General features: G+C 40.5%; 1 protein-coding gene and 1 long non-coding RNA gene across 4 annotated transcripts in view, besides 1 other annotated feature; one reads left to right on the top strand and one right to left on the bottom strand.

Moving 5' to 3' along the window:
- LOC102724838 (uncharacterized) overlaps positions 1-14,231 on the bottom strand; it is a 37,115-nt gene extending 22,884 nt beyond the window's left edge. The window contains exon 1 of the long non-coding RNA XR_428318.4: positions 14,031-14,231. This is a non-coding gene — a long non-coding RNA (uncharacterized LOC102724838). The remainder of the gene's footprint in view (positions 1-14,030) is intronic.
- The window catches only part of MTMR7 (myotubularin related protein 7), a 116,558-nt gene that overhangs the window by 54,076 nt on the left and 42,982 nt on the right, over positions 1-19,500 (top strand). For all 3 annotated transcript variants that reach the window (NM_004686.5, XM_047422407.1, XM_047422408.1), the window contains 2 exons: positions 10,195-10,323; positions 17,779-17,913. In NM_004686.5, coding sequence (NP_004677.3) covers positions 10,195-10,323; positions 17,779-17,913 — 264 coding nt within the window. The remainder of the gene's footprint in view (positions 1-10,194; positions 10,324-17,778; positions 17,914-19,500) is intronic.
- Positions 9,382-9,676: a silencer, noted in NCBI's record as "tiled region #14094; HepG2 Repressive non-DNase unmatched - State 23:Low". NCBI's record gives its function as "represses a minimal TATA promoter and a strong SV40 promoter by Sharpr-MPRA in HepG2 cells {active_cell/tissue: HepG2}" and the evidence as "EXISTENCE:reporter gene assay evidence [ECO:0000049][PMID:27701403]".

The following is a 19,500-nucleotide window of genomic DNA, read 5'->3' as shown; positions in this document are numbered from 1 at the left end:
AATGAAATGATTGTACAGTAGTCCGTCAAATGAATGTACTGTAAAGTACTAAAGTATTTCTTTATTAATACGCATTTAAGCCAGGCATGGTGGCTCATGCCTGTAATCCCAACAGTTCGTGAAGCCATGGCGAGGGGACTGCTTGAGCCCTGGAGTTTGAGACCAGCCTGGGCAACATAGGGAGAACCCCATTCCCACAAAAGCAATTTAAAAAATTAGCTGGACATGGAGGTGTGCACCTGTAGTCCCAGCTGCTTGGGAGGTCGAGGCTGGAGGATTGCTTGAGCCTGCGAGGTTGAGGCAGCAGTGAGCCATGATCGCGCCATGCACTCTAGCTTGGGCAACAAAATGAAACCTTGTCTCAAATTTTTTAAAAAGGGCTTTTAGATTATTTAGACTTTTTTTTGCCATATGAATAATTCTTGATATAGTATCCTTATGTGTATAATTTCCCCCAACTTAAAATTATTTTATAAGAAAAATCTTTCCTGAATCTACCAAAAGGCATAAAGGGCCTAATTGTTTTAAAAATTACAGACAGGTAGGATACTGATGTTTTTGTTTTTGATCAGTATTTGTTAGTTTCTAGTCCCTTATATTGCATTCAGTGCACATGGCCTATAGAATTCATATTTGGGGAATGTTTTGAAGACGTATGTCATCATAAAACACAGTATTCTATTTTTAATAAGTATTTTGAGTCTGGAAAAATGTGTATTCTCTATTATTTAGGTGTGAAATTTCGCATTTATCTAAATTGAATTTCTTATTATTTTGGTCTCTTTGCTCAATTGATTCTGACAGAGGTATGTGAAAATATTCCTGTTATGATTGTGATTGGACATTTTCTCCTTAAGTCCTAACATGTTTGCATTATATATTTTAAAGTTACTCTGCTTAGCACGTAATGATTAAGGACATCTGCTTGGTGTATTCTTTTTGTCAGTTTCACATATCCCTTTTCCTGTGAATTATTTAAACTTTGAATTCTATTTTATATGATTATATTTCCACTGTTTCTTTCTCTTTGTCAGAGTTTGCTTGGTGGAGCTCTGTTTAACCCCTTCTTTTTAACCTTCTTATGTAAATGTTTTGTCTTTTTAAGCTGAGTTTGGTTAGATTTTTTTACTCAATCTGAAAATCTTTTTTGCGGTAAAATACTATCTGTGATATTGTTCTAGATATCTTGTATTGTATGTTTTGTCAATTATGCTTTTTCCTTTTTCATGTCTATGACTGGATGGTTTTTCCCTGTATTTGCTTGTAATTATTTCAGAAGTATATACCCTATTGCTTTTCCTCCACTGAGTATCTTTCATTTAGAATAAAAGTTACTTAAATCATCCTACAAAGTAGAGAAGGAAAAAAAGAAAAAAAGTTATTTATTTCTTATGGCACACTTATGGCATACACAGGACTTTGAAGAATAACGGAATGAATGCCAGGGATCCATGTGCTGTATAAGAATGAACATCACCAGTGCTAGTTAATTTCCCAGATGTTCCTTCCAAATTGTCTCTTGCTCCAGCATCAATGTCTGCAGTTTGGCATTGCTATTCCTTTGCCTTTATTATAGCATGTCTACATTTCTAAATATAGGAAGGCCTCACTTAATGTCAGTAGGTTCTTGGAAACTGCGACTTTGAGTGAAACGATGTACAGGATATTCTCAAATAACATCATTTTGCTCGACATCATTTTGTGATAGCTATGAGGGAAAAAAAGGTGTTTTATGTTCTTTTGCTTAAAGTTGCAATTGCCTACAACCTGAGGGCATTGTTGAGCAAGGACTTACTGTAGTAGTATGTGGTATTGTTTTGCATGTTTTTATACTGTCTGTACTTGGTCTGCATATGCTGTATATAGTTTTCTGAAGTTTGACTTTTCACTCAACATGGTAACATTTGTATTTGTCATCCATTTCGTTTAAGAAACATGTATATAGTTACTACATGCCAGGTACTGTTCTAAAAACTTGATAAATGTTAGCAAATATTAGTTCTGTGTATAGTAGTATTATTATTTCTACTTTACAAATGGAGAAAGTATGACAGAGAGATTAAGTAATTGTCTAAGGCATAGAGAGATTAGTAACTGTTGATACTGATAGCTCTGATTCCTTCATTTTTCACTACTGTGTTGTATTCCATTTCACAAATATAACATAGTTTTAAAAATTACTCATCCTTCCCTCTTTCTTTCTTTTTTTCTTTTGTTGGTTGTGTTTTGTTGTCATGAATAAAGCTGTTAAGTGGGCTGTATATGTCTTGTAGTATATTGTGTTTCTACTTAGGAGTAGAGTTTATGAGCTAGAGAGTATATAGATTTGAGCTTTACTAAATTCTGGAAAATTCTTTTCTAAAGTGTTTGCGTGGACATATTGGCCTGCTTGCAAGATATGAGTTCTCATTACGGCACAGACTCCCCGACGGTTGGTATTGATGTGATATTCGCTGGTATTCTTCTTTGTTGATCCCACAGTGCCACTTCTGAGAATTTATTCTGTGGATTTAATAGCATACACACACACTGATACCCAAGGTTATTTTATTTTATTTTATTGAGACAGGGCCTCACTCTGTTGCCCAAGCTAGAGTACAGTGGGGCGATCTCAGCTCACTGTAACCTCTGCCTCCTGGGTTCAAGCAATTTTCCTGCCTCAGCCTCCCAAGTAGCTGGGATTACAGACACCCACCACCACAACCAGATAATGTTTGTATTATTATTATTAGTAGTAGTAGTAGAGATGGTATTTCACCATGTTGGCCAGGCTGGTCTTGAACTCCTGACCTCAAGTGATCTGCCCGCCTCTGCCTCCCAAAATGTTGGGATTACAGGCAAGCCACCATGCCTGGACCCCAAGGTTATTTTTTTGAAGCGTTTTTCATAATAGTAAATATTAGAAGAAACCCAAATATCTTTAATTAGTTTCTTGGAAACTGTGACTTTCCAAGAACCTAATTCTTGGAATGGGGGCCAGCTAAATAATTTTTGCTCTATCCGTATGATTAAGTTAGTTTGTAACCATTAAAGGAAATGTGGAAGGTTCCTATGTACTGATAAAAATTGCTAAAATATATTGTTAGGTTAGAAAAAGCAAGACACAATATGGTGAATATAGTATAATACCTTTTGGCTTAACAAAGGAGGGAGAATAATAACACGTTTGCCCAAAAGTGATAACCTAGAGTGGTGTTGGTAATGGGGTGGATAGGACACAAGGATGAAAGTGGGATTTCTTCTCCTGCTCCAGCACCACTGGATGCAGTTTAGCATTGTTGTTCCTTTGCTTTTATTTGTAGCATTTTATGCACCTTTTGGTATTGTTTCATTTATATAACCATGTGGATTTATTAACTGGTCTTAACTTTGAGCCAAACTGATTGGTATGAATTGGATCTCGATGTGGTTTTTGCATTGACCTGATTGACTAGTGAGGTTAAGCTTGTGTTTCTTGGCTGTTCATGTTGACTCTTCTGTGAATTATCTACTCACATTTTTGCTCTTTTTTCTATAAGATTATTTGTTGTTTTCTTGTTGTAGTTCTTTATATAATGTAGCCAATAATTTGTTATAATTTATAGCTCTTGCAGATATCTTGTCTCAGGAGATTCTGATACACTGTTCCAAGTTTCTTCAGAAGTTTTGAGTTGTCAATCTTTCTTACCATGTTTTGTCTTTTAGCATACTGTTTTTTTTTTTAATTTTTTAATCCTGGTCTGTTTGCTAAACTTTGTCCCAATTTGACGCTGTATAAATCCCACAATTATATTTTTACCAGTTATGATTATTATGGCTTTATAATCTTGATACTTAAAAGTCAGTTCTTTGACATAATTCATCAGGATATCTTGAATTTATGGATTATTTGGGCTAGAATGGACACTTCCATGACACTGAATCTTCCTCTTAATTACACTTAAATTTAACAACCATAAAGTTAATTATTATAAAGTATCTGACTCATGTAATCAGACTAATTTGTTCTCATACTAAAGCTAACTTTTGCAGTGAATTTTTAGCCTTGAAAGAAAGGAAAATCCAAGTTTAGTAAAGAAAATTGGATACTCTTTTTGTTAATATGACACATCCTTGGGCAAGGAAGAAAATGAGACTGAACCACATCTTGTGGAATAACGTCTCCTTGGAAATACAGGTTCTTCTGTTTTTGATGAGATTTCCTTCTAGAATTAGCGCATAAACATGACTCATATATAGTCACTTAAGTCCTACGTTGCACAGCCTGCAAAACATGAGTTACTCAGCATTTCTTTTCAGAAGCAACACACAGCAAAACAAAACTAACAGCAAAACAAAACTAACAAGGAACAAACTGTTTTGAAGCAGAAAAGGTAAAAACCTAGGGGATTTTCTGATTTTGCAAATATCACCGAAATGGGAGGAAGATGATGTATCCTGATTTGTCACTAACTTAGCAAGAGAACACAAGTTGTCTTATTTCAGAAAATTTTTGACTAATAATCCATGGAGAGAGAGATATCCAAATCCATTCCTTTTGCTTTTGACCCCATGGCTGAGAAAACGTTTACTTTTTCCTCTCTTGTTTGACAACTTATCTTATTTCTTCTCACAAATCCTTTGAGGTCGGTGGGTCAGGAAGTGTCATTTGATGGAAAAGAAACAATTGTCGATGGTGGAAATAACAGCAGACGTAGAATACAAAACTTAGATTCTAGAACCAATTCTGCTATTTTCTTTGGCCTTGGGCAGGCTAATTATTACTATTATCTGTATCATCTTACCACCATCGCTATTTATAAGACACTTGCTTATGGTAGTCTAAGTCTCTAAGCTCAGATTTCTTTTTTTACCTAACCCTTGAAATTGTCTTTATTTAAATAAAGTAATTTGTATTCATTGCTAGGTTAAAGTTTTAATCTAACTCTCTTGGAATAAAATATAAAATACAACCCAAACCAGTCAGTTTATTAAAGCTCATTTATTTCAGTTCTCCACAGCTATATTTTATGTATCATGCATTATTTTGTTTTATTCACATATATGTCATTTTATCCTGTTCATAACCTCCTCCTTCTCCCTGTTCATCATAAATTCCTTGAAATAAATTTTAGCACTGAAATGTTTAAGAAGATTGTCTGTATAGATATCTCTCAGTTTCTGACAACTCTTACCCTACAGTGCTCAGATGAATGATTGGTCCTTGGAGGGCTGAGTGACACTTTTGGATTGCATCTTAGATGGCTAGTAGCCTGCAGTGATAAATATATTTACTGGAAGATTCTAACTTGGTTAACAAAGATCAGCTGTCCTGGGAGTGTGAAATCTTCAAGGCCAAAAACTCTTACTCATTTCTGCTCTTGCAGCTGAGAGTAATGCCTGGCGTATAGTAAGTACTCAGTAAAAGCTTGTTGAATGAGTGAAAGAGTTACCAAAAGATTCCCCTTGCCAGGACAGCACCAAGGGATGTGGGCACTCCAGGAAGGTCAATTAATTTAGTGGAGCACAAAGAAAATCGGTTTCCTTATTCATTTTAAAAAATGGCAAAGTGATTAACTGACTAATCCACTTTCATTAACTAAGGCAGAGTGCATGTAAAGAAAATTCAGGAGAAAAACATTTTCCATTCCTCTGAACTTCTCATATTCTCTCTGAATTTTGTCAGGTGGTTTTCCAAACCAGACAAAATCCTGAGAGGCATACTGAGGTGTTTGAAAATTAGCGACATATGTTGCATCATTGTGCGCATTATGTATTGTCAGAGTTTTGACTACAACTCTGTGAGCTTGTTGCAAAAATGGCAGCAGTCAATGCTAAGATTGTTTTCCCTTTTCTTTTTTCATTGTGATTTAAAAAATGCATAACGTAAAGTTTGCCATCTTAGTCATTTTTAAGGTATAGTTTAGGAGTGTTAAGTAGATTGACATTCTTGTACTATAATAGATCTCTGGAACTTTTCAACTCCAGAACTGATACTCTATACCCATTAAACAACTCCCCATTCCCACCTACCACAGCCCCTGGCAACCATCATTCTACTTTTTGTTTCTATGAATTTGACTACTTTAGATACCTCATATAAGTGGAATCATACAGTATTTTCTTTTTGTGACAGGCTTATGTCATTTAATGTCCTCAAGGTTCATCTGTGTTATAGCATGTAACAGGATTTCCTTCCTTTTTAGGGCTGAATAATATTTCATTGTAATGATATACCACATTTTGCTTATCCATTCATCACTTGATGGACATCTGGGTTGCTTCCACCTCTTGGCTGTGAATAATGCTCTGCGGATATGGTTGTGCAAGTATCTCTTGGAGATTCTGCTTTCAAGTCCTTTGGGCATACATCCAGAAGTGAGATTGCTGGATCATGTAGGAATTCTATTTTTAAATTCCTGAAGAGCCTCCATGCTGTTGTCCATAGTGGTTACATAATTTTATATCCCCATCCACAGTGCACTAGGGTTTCAATTTATCTGAGTGCTCACCAGTACTAGTTTTATTATGTTTTCATTCTTTCATTTTGTAATAGTGGCCATCCTAACAATTGTGAGTTAGCATCTCATTGTGGTTTTGATTTTGATTTCCCTAAGATACGCAATTTACTAATAGCTTCTCACATTCTGTAGGTTGCTTTTTCACTTTTGATTGTGTCCTTTGATGTATAAAAGTTTTTAAGTTTGATATGGTTCCATTTGTCTAGTATTTTCTTTTGTTGTCTCTGCTTTTGCTGTCATACATAATAAATCAGTGCCAACTCCAATGTCATAAAGCTTGTCCCTTATGTTCTTTTCTAGGAGTTTAATACTTTTGGGTCTTATGTTTAGGTCTTTAGTCCATTTTGAGTTAATTTTTTTATATAGTACAAGATATGACCCATCGTTATTTTATTTTACTTTTGCATGTGGGTATCTAGTTTTCCCAGTACCATCTGTTGAAGAGACTAATCTTACCCCATTGAGTAGTCTTGGCACCCATGCTATGGATCATATGACCATATACATGAGGGTTTACTTCTGGGTTCTCTATTCCATTGGCCTATTTGTCTGTCTTTATTCCAGTACCACACTGTTTGATTGCTGCAAAATAGATATGGCTTTGTACTATATTTTGAAATTATGAAGTGTAAGTCCTCTTTGTTCTTTTTCAAAATCGTTTTTTGCTATTTGGGGTCCCTGGAGAATCCATGTAAATTTTAGGATGAATTTTTCTACTTCTGCACAAAATGCCCTTGAGATTTTGATAGGGATTGCCTTGTGGTTGCTTTGTGTAGGATGGACATCTTCACAATATTAAGTCTTCCAGTGCATGAACACAGGTATCTTACCATTTACTTGTGTCTTTAATTCCTTTCAGTGGTGTTTTATATTTTCAAGGTAGGATTGTTATTTTAATTTCCACTTGAGAGTGCTGTCTACTTTGATGAAAGCAGGACAAATATCCATGCTTCTAGCTTGGTAAGAGGTTGTATCTTCCCGTGTTAACTGACACCCTAAATCTGCTTTTCTCAAATGCATTCTAGCTTCTTAGAGTTCCCCGAGCAAGTACTCATCAGAATGCCTTATAACTTAAGCTGTGACCCATGGAGCTTTTTCCCCTAGACCCAGTGCTCTGGGGAAGGCAGAAATCCTCATAACTGGTATTGTGTTCATAGAGGGGAGGCCTCCACATCTGATGCAAGCCTGGCCATTGGTGACTGGGCGCAGGTTGTTGAGCTCTTTGTCCTGGCACATGCCAAGCCATCAAAATCTACATACCTCTACTCTGCAGAGTGAGAGCTCTGGTGCTCTTAGAGGGCAGGAGGTGGTCTTCTTGCTCCTTTGTGAATCAAGAGGGCCCTGAGTTGGGGCCAAGGAGAGTGGGCCTCTGGGTGTTGATTTTCTCTGTTTGGTCTCATTCCAGCTATGGTGCACACAGGGCCTTGATGCCAGTGAACCTAGGTGTTTATTTAGCCTTAGAAGACCATAAAAGGGCCTAGCAGGAGCTTATCTCTTGCTCTTCAAAGAGGCTGTCTGAAATAAGCATGTTGACAAATCTTGCATGTTACTGTTATTTAATCATGAAACTTTGCAGTTCCTTAGTGTTGTTACAAGGAAGAATGTAGGTAATTCCCAACTTGCTGAAAACCTACTCATTTCCTTTTAAAAACTGTTATTTTAGGAAAATGTTGTTGGTCTGGTGCAATGACTACATGTCTCTTGAACCTCAAACAAACAGGTGTGGTCCACGTCATAGTCTTCTAGCTGGCTGACTTCATGGAGGTTCAGACACCAGATTGGCAAGGGGGAGGGAGTGCCGTGTTTTATGGCAGTCTTCCCAGCTAAAGCTCTCTGAGTCCAAGTTGGTTGAGCCTTCTGTTCTTGGCAGATTTTCCTTTAGAGTGTCAGTGCCACAGGCCATGTTAAACTCTTTGGTAATCTTCTTTCCTAAAATGTCTGGTAGAACCCTGAAATTAGACTTTGGGCCTGTGAACATCTCTTCTGTGGCCCTTTTATTCCCTGCTCTATGTAGTTTTCTATTCTGCTAACAAAGACAGTGGAGGTCAGCAAGGGAGGCATCATCACAGAAGACTTTATAAGAGGCTTGGATTTCAGTTGTGGGTTTTCAACCCCTACAAACCCATCTTCCAGAGTGATAAAGGTGGGTGGAGATGGACACAGGGCCTGCAGATAAAGTATTTCCCCTTGATGTGGGTTTCTGTGTCCCCACCCAAATCTCATCTTAGATCGTAGCTCCCATAATCCCAACATGTCATGGGAGGGACCCGGTGGGAGGTAATTGGATCATGGGAGCTGGTCTTTCCCATGGTGTTCTCATGATAGTGAATAAGTCTCACAAGATCTAATGCTTTATAAAGGGCAGTTCCCCTACACACGCTGTCTTGCCTGCTACCACGTAAGACGTGCCTCTGCTCCTCCTTCACCTTTTGCCATGCTTATGAGGCCTCCCAGCCATGTGGAACTGTGAGTCCATTAAACCTTTTCCTTTATAAATTACCCAGTCTCAAGTGTTTCTTTATAACCGTATGAAAATGGACTAGTACACCCCTGTTGTTAGACGTACTTGAGGACTCCCTTGAGATGACGAGGAAGATGTTTGACATCCAGGAAGTAAAGAGGTGCCTGACATATCCCAGGACACTTCCATGTGGGTGATCTTCACATTGCGAAAAGACTGATGGACTGAAGTGAAAGCAAAATGTGTTGAGCAACAGTAGCCTCAACTGCTATCACTGTTGCTACCACTAACATTTGTTTTGGATTTAGTGGTTTATAAAGTGCTTTGCCATGGGTGTTGCCGGATTTGATCCATCTGTCAACCCCATGAGATATTGTTGCTGCAGTATCACTTCTAGAGATTAGCAAACCACAGTGCACCGTGTAGTTTGGCTTCCCCAGGGTCATGAAGTTGCTCAGTCAGAGCCAGGTCCTAAACTGCTGATTTCTGGTTCTTAATTGCAAGATCCTTCCAAGGCACCCTTCCACTGTGGTAGTCACTCTCAGGAATGCGTAGAAAGAGTACATCGATCCTTACCACTTATCAACTCAACACATAAGAAACAAAAATCAAGCTGTTACATTGCGCGGTAATCTGTGGCACATTAGGAAATCTGCATGGGCTGAAAGGTCAAGGAAGAAGCTTCCCGAAGGAGGTGGAACTTCGATTGGCCCTTGAAGAACGGATGGGATTTGGGAAGGTGGAGGGCAGGAGTGTCCGGGGAGGCATCAGCTTGTGTGATGTGTCAGGGTCAGGAATGCACACTGGGCGTGTCAGAGCCACAGAGTTAACCTGCTGGCTTAACCAGTGTGCTTATGTTTTAGGAAAACTGTCTCCTGGTGTCATTCTGTCTTTCAAGCAAATCCTGGCAGCTCAGATTTTCTCAGCCAGGGTGCAAAATGGCAGTTTGTCTCTTTTTGATGAAAGGAAGGCTTCATTGTCACTGGTCTTGCACAAAGAGCCCTTGGAGAGAGGGGACAGTGCACGGGGACAGAACACTAAGGGTAGCTTGCGTTCCTTCAGAATGATTACATAGAATCAGCGGCACTTCCTTCCTCTGAAGTGGCTTTGAGTTTCCTCGAAATAGCCTCCTCTGTAACATGGTTAAGGGAACTTAAGGATGTACCTGTAAGCGTGGTGAAGTGGAATTTCTGGGGGCAGTTCGCAGGGCATTACTAGATGGCCTAAAAATCTCTTTGTATTTTCTGGTGACAGGTCTGTGACTCTTATCCTACTGAACTGTACGTTCCCAAATCGGCCACGGCACACATCATAGTGGGGAGTTCCAAATTCCGGAGTAGACGGCGATTTCCTGTCCTTTCTTACTATTATAAAGATAACCACGTAAGTCTCGAGGCGTGTTTTTGTTTTACACTTTGCTTTTCTAGTTTATCATAAGCAGGCATTTTCTAGCTGCCTTCTGCTGTGCGTGTGTGTGTGTTTGAATTCTTCAGAAGGTATGTGGATATTCCTGTGCATGGTATGACATGATACAACTATGCTAAGTCCTTATCTCATGTAGACTTCCTATGTTTATTTGACAGTAATGTAATGATTCAGAAAATGACTCAATAGATTCAGAAAACCCCTAAAGCTAATCATGCAAGTGAATACTGTCCTAAGTGGGCACCTTGGGAATCTCTTTGCTTATTCAGTGCTGGAGATCTGTGGCATGCCTATTTTAGAAAAGCCCCCGAAGTCCATGGCCCATTCTTTTTCTCTATTACGTTTTTTTTTTTTTTTTTTTGAGACAGAGTCTCACTCTGTCACCTGGGCTAGAGTGCAGTGGTGCAATCTCGGCTCACTGCAACCTCTGCCTCCCAGGTTCAAGCAATTCTCCTGCCTCAGCCTCTTTTGTAGCTGGGATTACAGGCACCTGCCAACATGCCCAGCTAATTTTGGGTTTTTTTTTTGTATTTTTAGTAAAGAAGGGGTTTCACCATGTTGGCCAGGGTGGTCTTGAACTCCCGACCACAGGTGACCCACCTGCCTCGGCCTCACAAAGTGCTGGGATTACAGGCGTGAGCCACTGTGCCCGGCCTTATTACCTGTTTTTAAATTTCATGTTCTTTTGAGTATCTTCAGTATAAGAAATCTTTGGTTATAGAGAGCATGGGTTTTATTTTTAAAATATTATTTATAAAAGCCAGAATTGGGTTTGTCTGTAATAGAGACTCTAAGTAACAGTGGCTCTAAGAGGATACAATTTTTTTCTGTTGCGTAAAATTACCAGGGTGCGCAGTCCTAGCCTGGTAGCCTGGCCCCACCCCACTTAGCCTTCAGGTACTCAAGCTCCTTCTACCTTTCTGCTCTACCACCACCTGGATTTGGCCATGGCCTGCCTGGTGCAAGAGGTCACTTCAGTACAGTCACCACCCACACACTGCAGGTGGCAGGTGACGGAGGGCTAATGTTGTGTGCCCAGCTTTTTAAGGAAGGCTTCCAAAAACTGCCACGTGACACCTCCCTTTCATCAGAATTGCACAGGGCAGGTGTGGAAGTACAGTGTTATGGGTGGCCATTAAAATAGCTAAAACTTAGAGTTCCATTTCTGCGGAGGATAGGAAAACAAATTCGGATGAGCAAGAATGGTCTTTGGCACCCACTTTTAAAAGGTAGCAAAAAACCACCTTTAAAAAAGGTGGTTTAAAAAAACAAAATGTTCTTTGGTTCTAGCAAGGTGAGAGAGAAACTTTAGTTTTTAAGCTAGATAATATACTTCTGGATTCAAAGCCGAGTGAGGCTATAAACACAGGAGATTGTGTGAGTGTGTATCCACATGCCTGCACCTACAGCCGGGGGGTAGAGCAGGGTCTCAGTCAGATTCTAGAAGCTTCCAAAAATATCTGGAGCAATGCCAGCTTCATCAGAGTGAGCACATAGCCCTCTCTGTTGCTACTTTGAAGGAAAATATTAATTTGGTGGTGAAAGTTCTGTGAATTGGATAAAAATTATTTTTAGTTATACTCATTGCTCTTCTTCTTTTCCTAGCCTTGAATTAGGGTCTAAAGTATTTTATTAACTCTGAATGTATTTCAGCTTGCACAGAGCTGGAGCACTGGTTAGAGGCAAAGGAAGATGTGATTTTTTTTTTTTTTTTTCGGAAACAAGATCTCACTTGTCGCCCAGGCTGGAGTGCAGTGGCACAATCTTGGCTCACTGCAGCCTTGACCTCCCCAGACTCAAGTGATCTTCCCATCTCAGCCTCCCGAGTCACTGGGACCACGCGTGTGCCACCCGGCCCAGCTAATTGTTTTGCATTTTTTGTAGAGACGAGGAAAGCCATGTTGCCCAGGCTGGTCTTGAGCTCCTGTGCTCAAGTGATCTGCCTGCCTCGGCCTCCCAAAGTGCTGGGATTACAGGTGTGAGGCGCCGCCCCTTGCCTCTTTTTTTTTTTTTTTTTTTTTTTTTTATTAAGATAGGATAAATAGAGATAGGAAGTTTCATGATGTTGCACTTGAAATTAGGTTGCTGGTAACATGCACATTTTTTTTTTTGTAGCATCCATTGATTAAAGAAGAGAGAAGATGAATCCAGGAGAGGGAGAAACGATCTTTTATTGTTGTTTCAGAGGTGTTTTATTGTTGTCTGTAGAATATTTAAAAAGTGAGCACAGTGTGCCTAGCAACTCCCTTTTTATATTCTTGAGACAAGGGACATTTTACTTTTTGTCAATGTGAGTAGTATCAGGATTAAATATGTATTGTCTCAGAAAGAGAATTTTTAGCAGTTAGACCTCAGAGGCAGCTTCTTCCCCGGCTGACCTCAGACCCACATGGCTCCACGCCTGCTCCCCCAAGTGCTATTTTACTGAACCTCCAGGCCTGAAAATGAACTCACACAGCATAGTTAGAGCTTAAGAGTATTCATTGCCCATATTTAAGATTTTAAAGCAGAAACAACCTGAAGCTCTAGCTCTTCTTCCAAGGTACAGAACAGAGATGTGTCTCGAAGCAGCGCTGCGTGATCGGGTTACCCCAGGGAAGTCCCGAGTGAGCACACACCTGCCCGCCCACTCTCCCACCCCATGAACTGAAATCTATTTTGCAGGTGGAATAATGATCAAATTTGTGTTTTATAACAATGTTTACATTTTAATATCAAGGTTAATTATATAAATGCTTCTGATTTGACTAGGGCTTTTCCTAAAGGGAAGTATTATTACCAAAGGTGGATTTCTGTGCTTAATGGAAGACACTGAAATACCAGAGTAGTTATCTGTGCTGTCATTGCTCATCGATGGCCGTATAGAAAACAGGCAGTCTCCCACAAAAAGTAAACAGGTACACATTCCATAAATTTGCTGATCTGTCTTTCTTCTCTTTGGTTATTTGAGACATTTTAGGCTTAAAGAGTATGTATTCCTACCCCCAAAGAATTTATGCTTATGAATAAGGATACTACATTTTATAGTGAAAATACTGTTTCCCACGTATGCTACCAAAGGGACACTTTTGATTTTGGTGGTGAGATGACTTGGCTAATTTTGGGCACTGGGAACTGGTGATCAGATTAGGAGAAGCTTGAAGTGCACGAGATTTTATGAACCTGAAGTTCTGTTCAATATAAAGGCCCCTGTGGAGGGTCCATCTTTCCCTTTGTATCAGCTGTTACCACATGTAGTGTTAGGTTGGTGCAAAAGTAATTTCAGTTTTTGCCATTACTTTTAATGGATGTAATCACATTCTTTCACCCCTGTGGTGAGGGAGGGATTCCTGCTCTAGGTTACAGGGACAGCCAGACACACAGCACTTGACACTGGGCAGGTGAGATGAACAGTCACATATACTCACTGCCAAGGGGAGGAGGACACCACAGCCCATGAAGGGGCACATGAGGTTGCGCTGAGGAGCAGAGTGACAGCCAGGGGCTGTGAGAGGCAGGCTGTGTAGTATCAGGAGCGTGGGGTCACCCTTGGTTCCCACAGGAGGATGTGATTAGCTTGCGTGCATCATTCCATGACTGGCAGGGAACTAAAACCTGCTTCTGGGGGACGGGCAGGAACTGCACCTGGTCTGTTGGATAAGAATTGTTTCACTTGGGAACCTTACCTGCAGGAGCAGAGCGTGGCAGGGAACTTGCAGTGAGGCCATTTGAGGCCCTCTCGGTTTTACCAGATGTCGAAGCAACACATAATATTAATTTTAGGCCTTACGCACATGGGTTATGTAGAGCCACGTGGGCTCCCTTTGAATATCCAGCTATTAACAGCTTTATAGATCATGGTTAGAGATGCTTAGTCATGTGCGTTCGGAATTCTGTGCATCTTTCTTTGAGAGTTCTTAGAATTGCTATAGCCTTTGTTCTTTATTACGCTAGGATTTTTTTTTTAAAGTTTCACTTTAAGATGGTGCACAGCATGGTCTCCCAAATTTACAGTACACATTTCGAGGAAACAAAACTCTAGAAGATTTCCAGTGAGGCAACTTTCCTTAGGAAAAATACAGACCTTCATGGTCTCTTTTCATAATGAATACTTATTGAAACTTCCTATGTGTTAGGCACAGTGCCAGGAGTTTTACAGTGTTATGCCCCTTCTCACACTCTGTAGTTTTAATATTTTACCCATTTTATAGATGAGAAAACTGAGGATCAGAGAAGATACATAAATTACCCAACATCATACAGTGAGTGAGAGCACAACTGGTACTGGAAGCCAGGTCTTTCTGCTGCATCTTTATGTTTTGAGATGGAGTCTCGCTCTGTCACCCAGGCTGGAGTGCAGTGGCATGATCTCAGCTCACTGCAGCCTCTACCTCCCATGTTCAAGCGATTCTCCTGCCTCAGCCTCCCAAGCAGCTGGGATTACAGGCGTGCACCACCACTCCTGGCTAATTTTTGTATTTTTGGTAGAGACAGGTTTCACCATGTTGGCCAGGCTGGTCTCGAACTGCTGACCTCAGGTGATGCACCTGCCTTGGCCTCCCGAAGTGCTGGGATTACAGGCATGAGCCACTGTGCCTGGCTTTATGCTGTATCTTAATAAGGTATTGTGCTGCCTGACCTATTTCCTCCCATTGGGGCTTGAATTACTTTGTTAAGAATTCAGGATCAGGAAATACTCTGTCTGGATTCAAATCTTGGCTTCCCTATTTACTAACTGTGTGACTTTGAGTATGTTACTTAACCTCTCTGTGCTTTGGTCACTTCATGTATCAAGTGGAGCCAATAATAGGTCTTATTGTATATGATAATTAGGCTAATTAAATAAAAATATGCAAAGTTCTTATAATAGTGCCTATCATATAAACACTCAAAAACAGTAGTAAGCCATCAAAAATGTTGAATATTTTAATTATTAGTAGCATTGTAAATGAGCGCTATCCCTTCCGGTTTACAACTGAAGAGTTTTTAATCTGTGCTCTGACATCAGTAAGAAATGCTGCCAAGTAATAGTAATACTCTTTGGATAATCTGTCTAGGGCATGTATAGGTGCACAAAAGCACTGAGACTACTTACTGTTCTGCACACAATTGAAAACCACATGTTAGCAATTACTGATTCAATGAAAAATTCCATTTAGATCATATCTTTAGTTTATTAAGAAAATCTAACTACAAAATACCAAAAATGTAGTCTGTTTAATATGCGTGTTTTAATTTATCGACCACATTCCACAGTATATAACAGTTCCAGTATAGTTCCTCATTTAAAACTAGCTGTTCTAAACCAGAAGATAATTTGAAATAGTTGTTGTCCCTAAATTGCTTCATTTTGTAGTTGGTGTCTCACTGCTTTAGTGAGGTCTGGTGTGTGTGTTCTCAAATTCTCGTCATTTAAATGTGTTACCATCCCCATCTAACCCTTCTGATGGAATCTAAGATTGTCTGGTGGCAGCTGTCCTTAACTAATATTTCTTTTTTTTTTCGAGATGGAGTTTCACTGTCGCCCGGGCTGGAGTGCAGTGGTGTAATCTCAGTGCACTGCAAACTCTGCCTGTCGGGTTCAAGTGATTCTCCTGCCTCAGCCCCCTGGGTATCTGGGATTGCATGTGTGTACCACCATGCCCACCTAATGTTTGTTGTATTTTTAGTAGTGATGGGGTTTCACCATGTTGGACAGGCTGGTCTCGAACTCCTGACCTCAAGTTATCCCCCCGCCTCGGCCTCCCAAAGTGCTGGGATTACAGGCGTGAGCCACCACACTGGGCTAACTAATATTTCTTTAACCCGGATAAAGTATCATCTAAAGCCAACTCAGAATTATTCTCTTTCCAGGAAGAATTCCCTCTGAGCAGGTGGCAGACCCTGACCCCTTAAAGATTAAAGGAAACAGGACCCCTGTGAAAGCCATCTGTGTCATTTGATTTCTGGTCTTCGGACATAGCTTGCCTTCTGCTTGCCAAGTCCCTCTTGATCCCCATCTTCACTTCCCCTTGCTCCTGGCCTTGCCGTCGCTTGCCATTCTGTCTGCCGTGCCCATACCCTTTGATCTTTTTCTCCTCCCCACCAGTCAGGAATGAGCCACCCTGGAGTGACTCTGCTGCTGCCCCTTTGCTTTGCTTCCCACGCCCACACCTTGTCCCCCTGGATTCTCAATCTGGCTGTAGGCCTCAGGCTTCCTTTAACCCCCTCAGTGATTGTCCGTCTCTGCAGAATGGTGTTGGCGCCCTCAGACAATGGCCCCTGTAATATGTCCAGCCATTCTGTGGTTCTCCAACTTCAGAGCTAGTGAGAAATGTCCCCACCTTCTCCAACAAGGAGCACCCAAGCCCTTTGGAGAGATCCAAACCCATGTTCAGTTGTCCTGGGTTGGGATTCAAAGACAATTAAGCTATGGTTGGACTAAGAGTTGGGGTGCCCCTTCATGGATGGAACCCTGCAATACAAGCACGCTGAACAGGCTGTGACATGACAGGACTATTTGCAGTGAAACTTTCCCCTCCATATTATCCTGCATGGAGGGGTTCTGTCACTGCCTGCATTCTTTCACACTGTGGACTTACAGTCTCAATGTAGATGCTTTGAGTCATTCAGGCATTTTATTGGGTGTTTTGTGTTTAAGTGTTAAAACCTAAATCCATGAAAGTACTTTGCCACAAAAGCCGAAGTTTTATAGCTGCAAGGTAGGATCTGTACTACCTACTCATAACTCAGGGAAATGTTTCTGCTCTTCTAGATGTCATCTGACAGTGCAATCTACTCTGTCAGAATTGCAGGGTACGGGACTTGGGGCAGAGAATGCAGATTGATTCCAAAAAAAAATCCCCCTTGTTCTAAGTAGACTTGAGTCAGCACAGGTATGTGCCTGCTGTCCTTCGGTTTCAAACCTAGCAGCAACCTGGGCTCTTGTCACCGTGAAAGTTTCCCGTTTAGAATTAGAATTGGTTTTTGGTATTTGTGATGTTTCTAGATGGGCTAGTTTAAAAAAAAAAAAGGTTGGAAAGCATTAAAAAATAATTTCTATTTTATTAATGTCACCATTAATCGTATCCTATGCATTTGAGAACGGTTATTTATTTTGTATTTTTTCTTTCAGCAGGAAAATGAAGCAATATCAGTGAAAAGGAAAGTAGATTATTTAAATGGTTTTGAATATCATAACTTAGACCCTATCTAAACATCTCTACACATTCCTAATATTTTGCACAGACAGGTTCTTTGTATTGCTTGCCCATTAGTGGTTTGACTTGAATTTTAATAAACAAGGCTTGATTTCCAGAAAGCTGTATCACGTTTTCATAAGCCGAGGTGGACTATCAGTGAGCCAAGGGCTCTTTGTTCTGGAGACACACGTAGAGTGTCTCTCATGGGTACAGTTACCTGATGGTGCTGTGTTGCTGTGACCTCTCCCCCTAGGCCTCCATCTGCCGGAGCAGCCAGCCCCTGTCCGGCTTCAGTGCCCGGTGCCTAGAGGACGAGCAGATGCTCCAGGCCATTAGGAAAGCCAATCCAGGAAGTGACTTCGTTTATGTCGTTGACACCCGGCCTAAAGTAAGTGTCACCGTTGCGATGCATGTCTTTGCACCTGAGTTGTGAAACTGGAGACAGGCAAAGGCTAGCCGACTGCCATCTCTTGTGCAGGTTGCTTCATCTGCAAAGGGGCGGTTCCTCTTGGCATAGTCAGTGTCTGGGCACCCTGCTGGCTACTTCCTGGAGGTCTAGTGCACCTGAAGCCTCCAACTATACAAGTACATTTCATATTTCCCCTGCCCCTAGCATTGTGCTGGGCACACAGGGGCACCCAAATGAATGTGGCTTCATTTTGGAGATTGTGCTCCTAAGTATACCGTATTAGTACTTGGTTTCTTTCTAAAACAGCCCTTTCTGCTCTGACAATAAAATTCACTCTGGAGCTCCAGCAGTTCAATTGTTGCGAAGTACTCAGCTATTATTTTTCAAATTCAACTTGTAGTAATCTATACCTATGACTTGGAAAGAACTATAAAATATAAGGTAAATTAAAAAATATTTTTTTCATAAAAAGTTCTAGGTGTGTAAAAAGGTGTAGAAAAAGATCTGAAAGGTTAAACCCTGAACTCTAAAAATTCCATGGAGAAGGGAGTAGGATTTGCGGACGTAGAGGGCTTTCTACTTGTTGATTGTTAGAAAAGTATTAGTTTACAATTATGTATGTATTAATTTATTAGTTTTCTAATTTAAGAAAACGAATAGGAAATAATATATCTAGACATCAAGGAGTGAGCCACATTGATCTTACACTTACCTCCCACTCAGCCTTAACTTTTTTGTTTTTAAGGAGAATCAGTGTTAAGTCCAATAAAATTCCAGTTTTTCTCCTTAGACCCAAGTCTTCTAAAACTTCAACAAGTGAAGTCCCCAGAGGGATGGACACAAAGTCACCTACAAGTGCATTGACTACAGCAGACAGAATGAGATGACAGAATGAAACGTCCCTTAGTCAGCTTATTTGCAATTGCACTTTCCTAGCCACTAATGAAAATGTGCCTGGACCTGTGACTGAGGAGAAAGATGAACGTCCAGTTCTGTCTCCTTGTATGGTAAGCAGAGGAGTCCAGGATGTCCTGTTAGGCAACAAGAGTGGGATAGAGAAATTATGTTTAATCTTGTTAAAAGAATTGGGGCTGGGCGCAGTGGCTTGTGCCTGTAATCCCAGCACTTTGGGAGGCGAAGGCAGGTGGATCATCTGAGGTCGGGAGTTTGAGACAAGCCTGACCAACATGGTGAAACCTCATCTCTATTAAAAATAACAAAAATTAGCTGGGCATCATGGTGCATGCCTGTAATCCCAGTTACTGGGGAGGCTGAGGCGGGAGAATCGCTTGAACACGGGAGGCGGAGGTTGCGGTGAGCCGAGATCGTGCCATTGCACTCCAGCCTGGGCAACAAGAGCGAAACTCCATCTCAAAAACAAAAAACAAAAAATTGAGAGAATGTATACCACACTGTTTACAGTGGTTTTTCCTGTGGGGTGAGAAGTTCATTTTAGGAAACTTTTCACTTCGTAAGTTAGAGTTTGAAATTTTTTTTCACTATAGAAAAGGTAAAAGAGCATAAGGACTTTAAATTTAGTTAAAAATAGAGTTACCATATGAATCA

The sequence above is a fragment of the Homo sapiens genome, chromosome 8 (assembly GCF_000001405.40).
Source record: "Homo sapiens chromosome 8, GRCh38.p14 Primary Assembly".
NCBI classification, from domain to species: domain Eukaryota; kingdom Metazoa; phylum Chordata; class Mammalia; order Primates; family Hominidae; genus Homo; species Homo sapiens.
The sequence above is the reverse complement of the archived record's forward strand: the minus strand, read 5'-3'. Positions and strand labels throughout refer to the sequence as shown.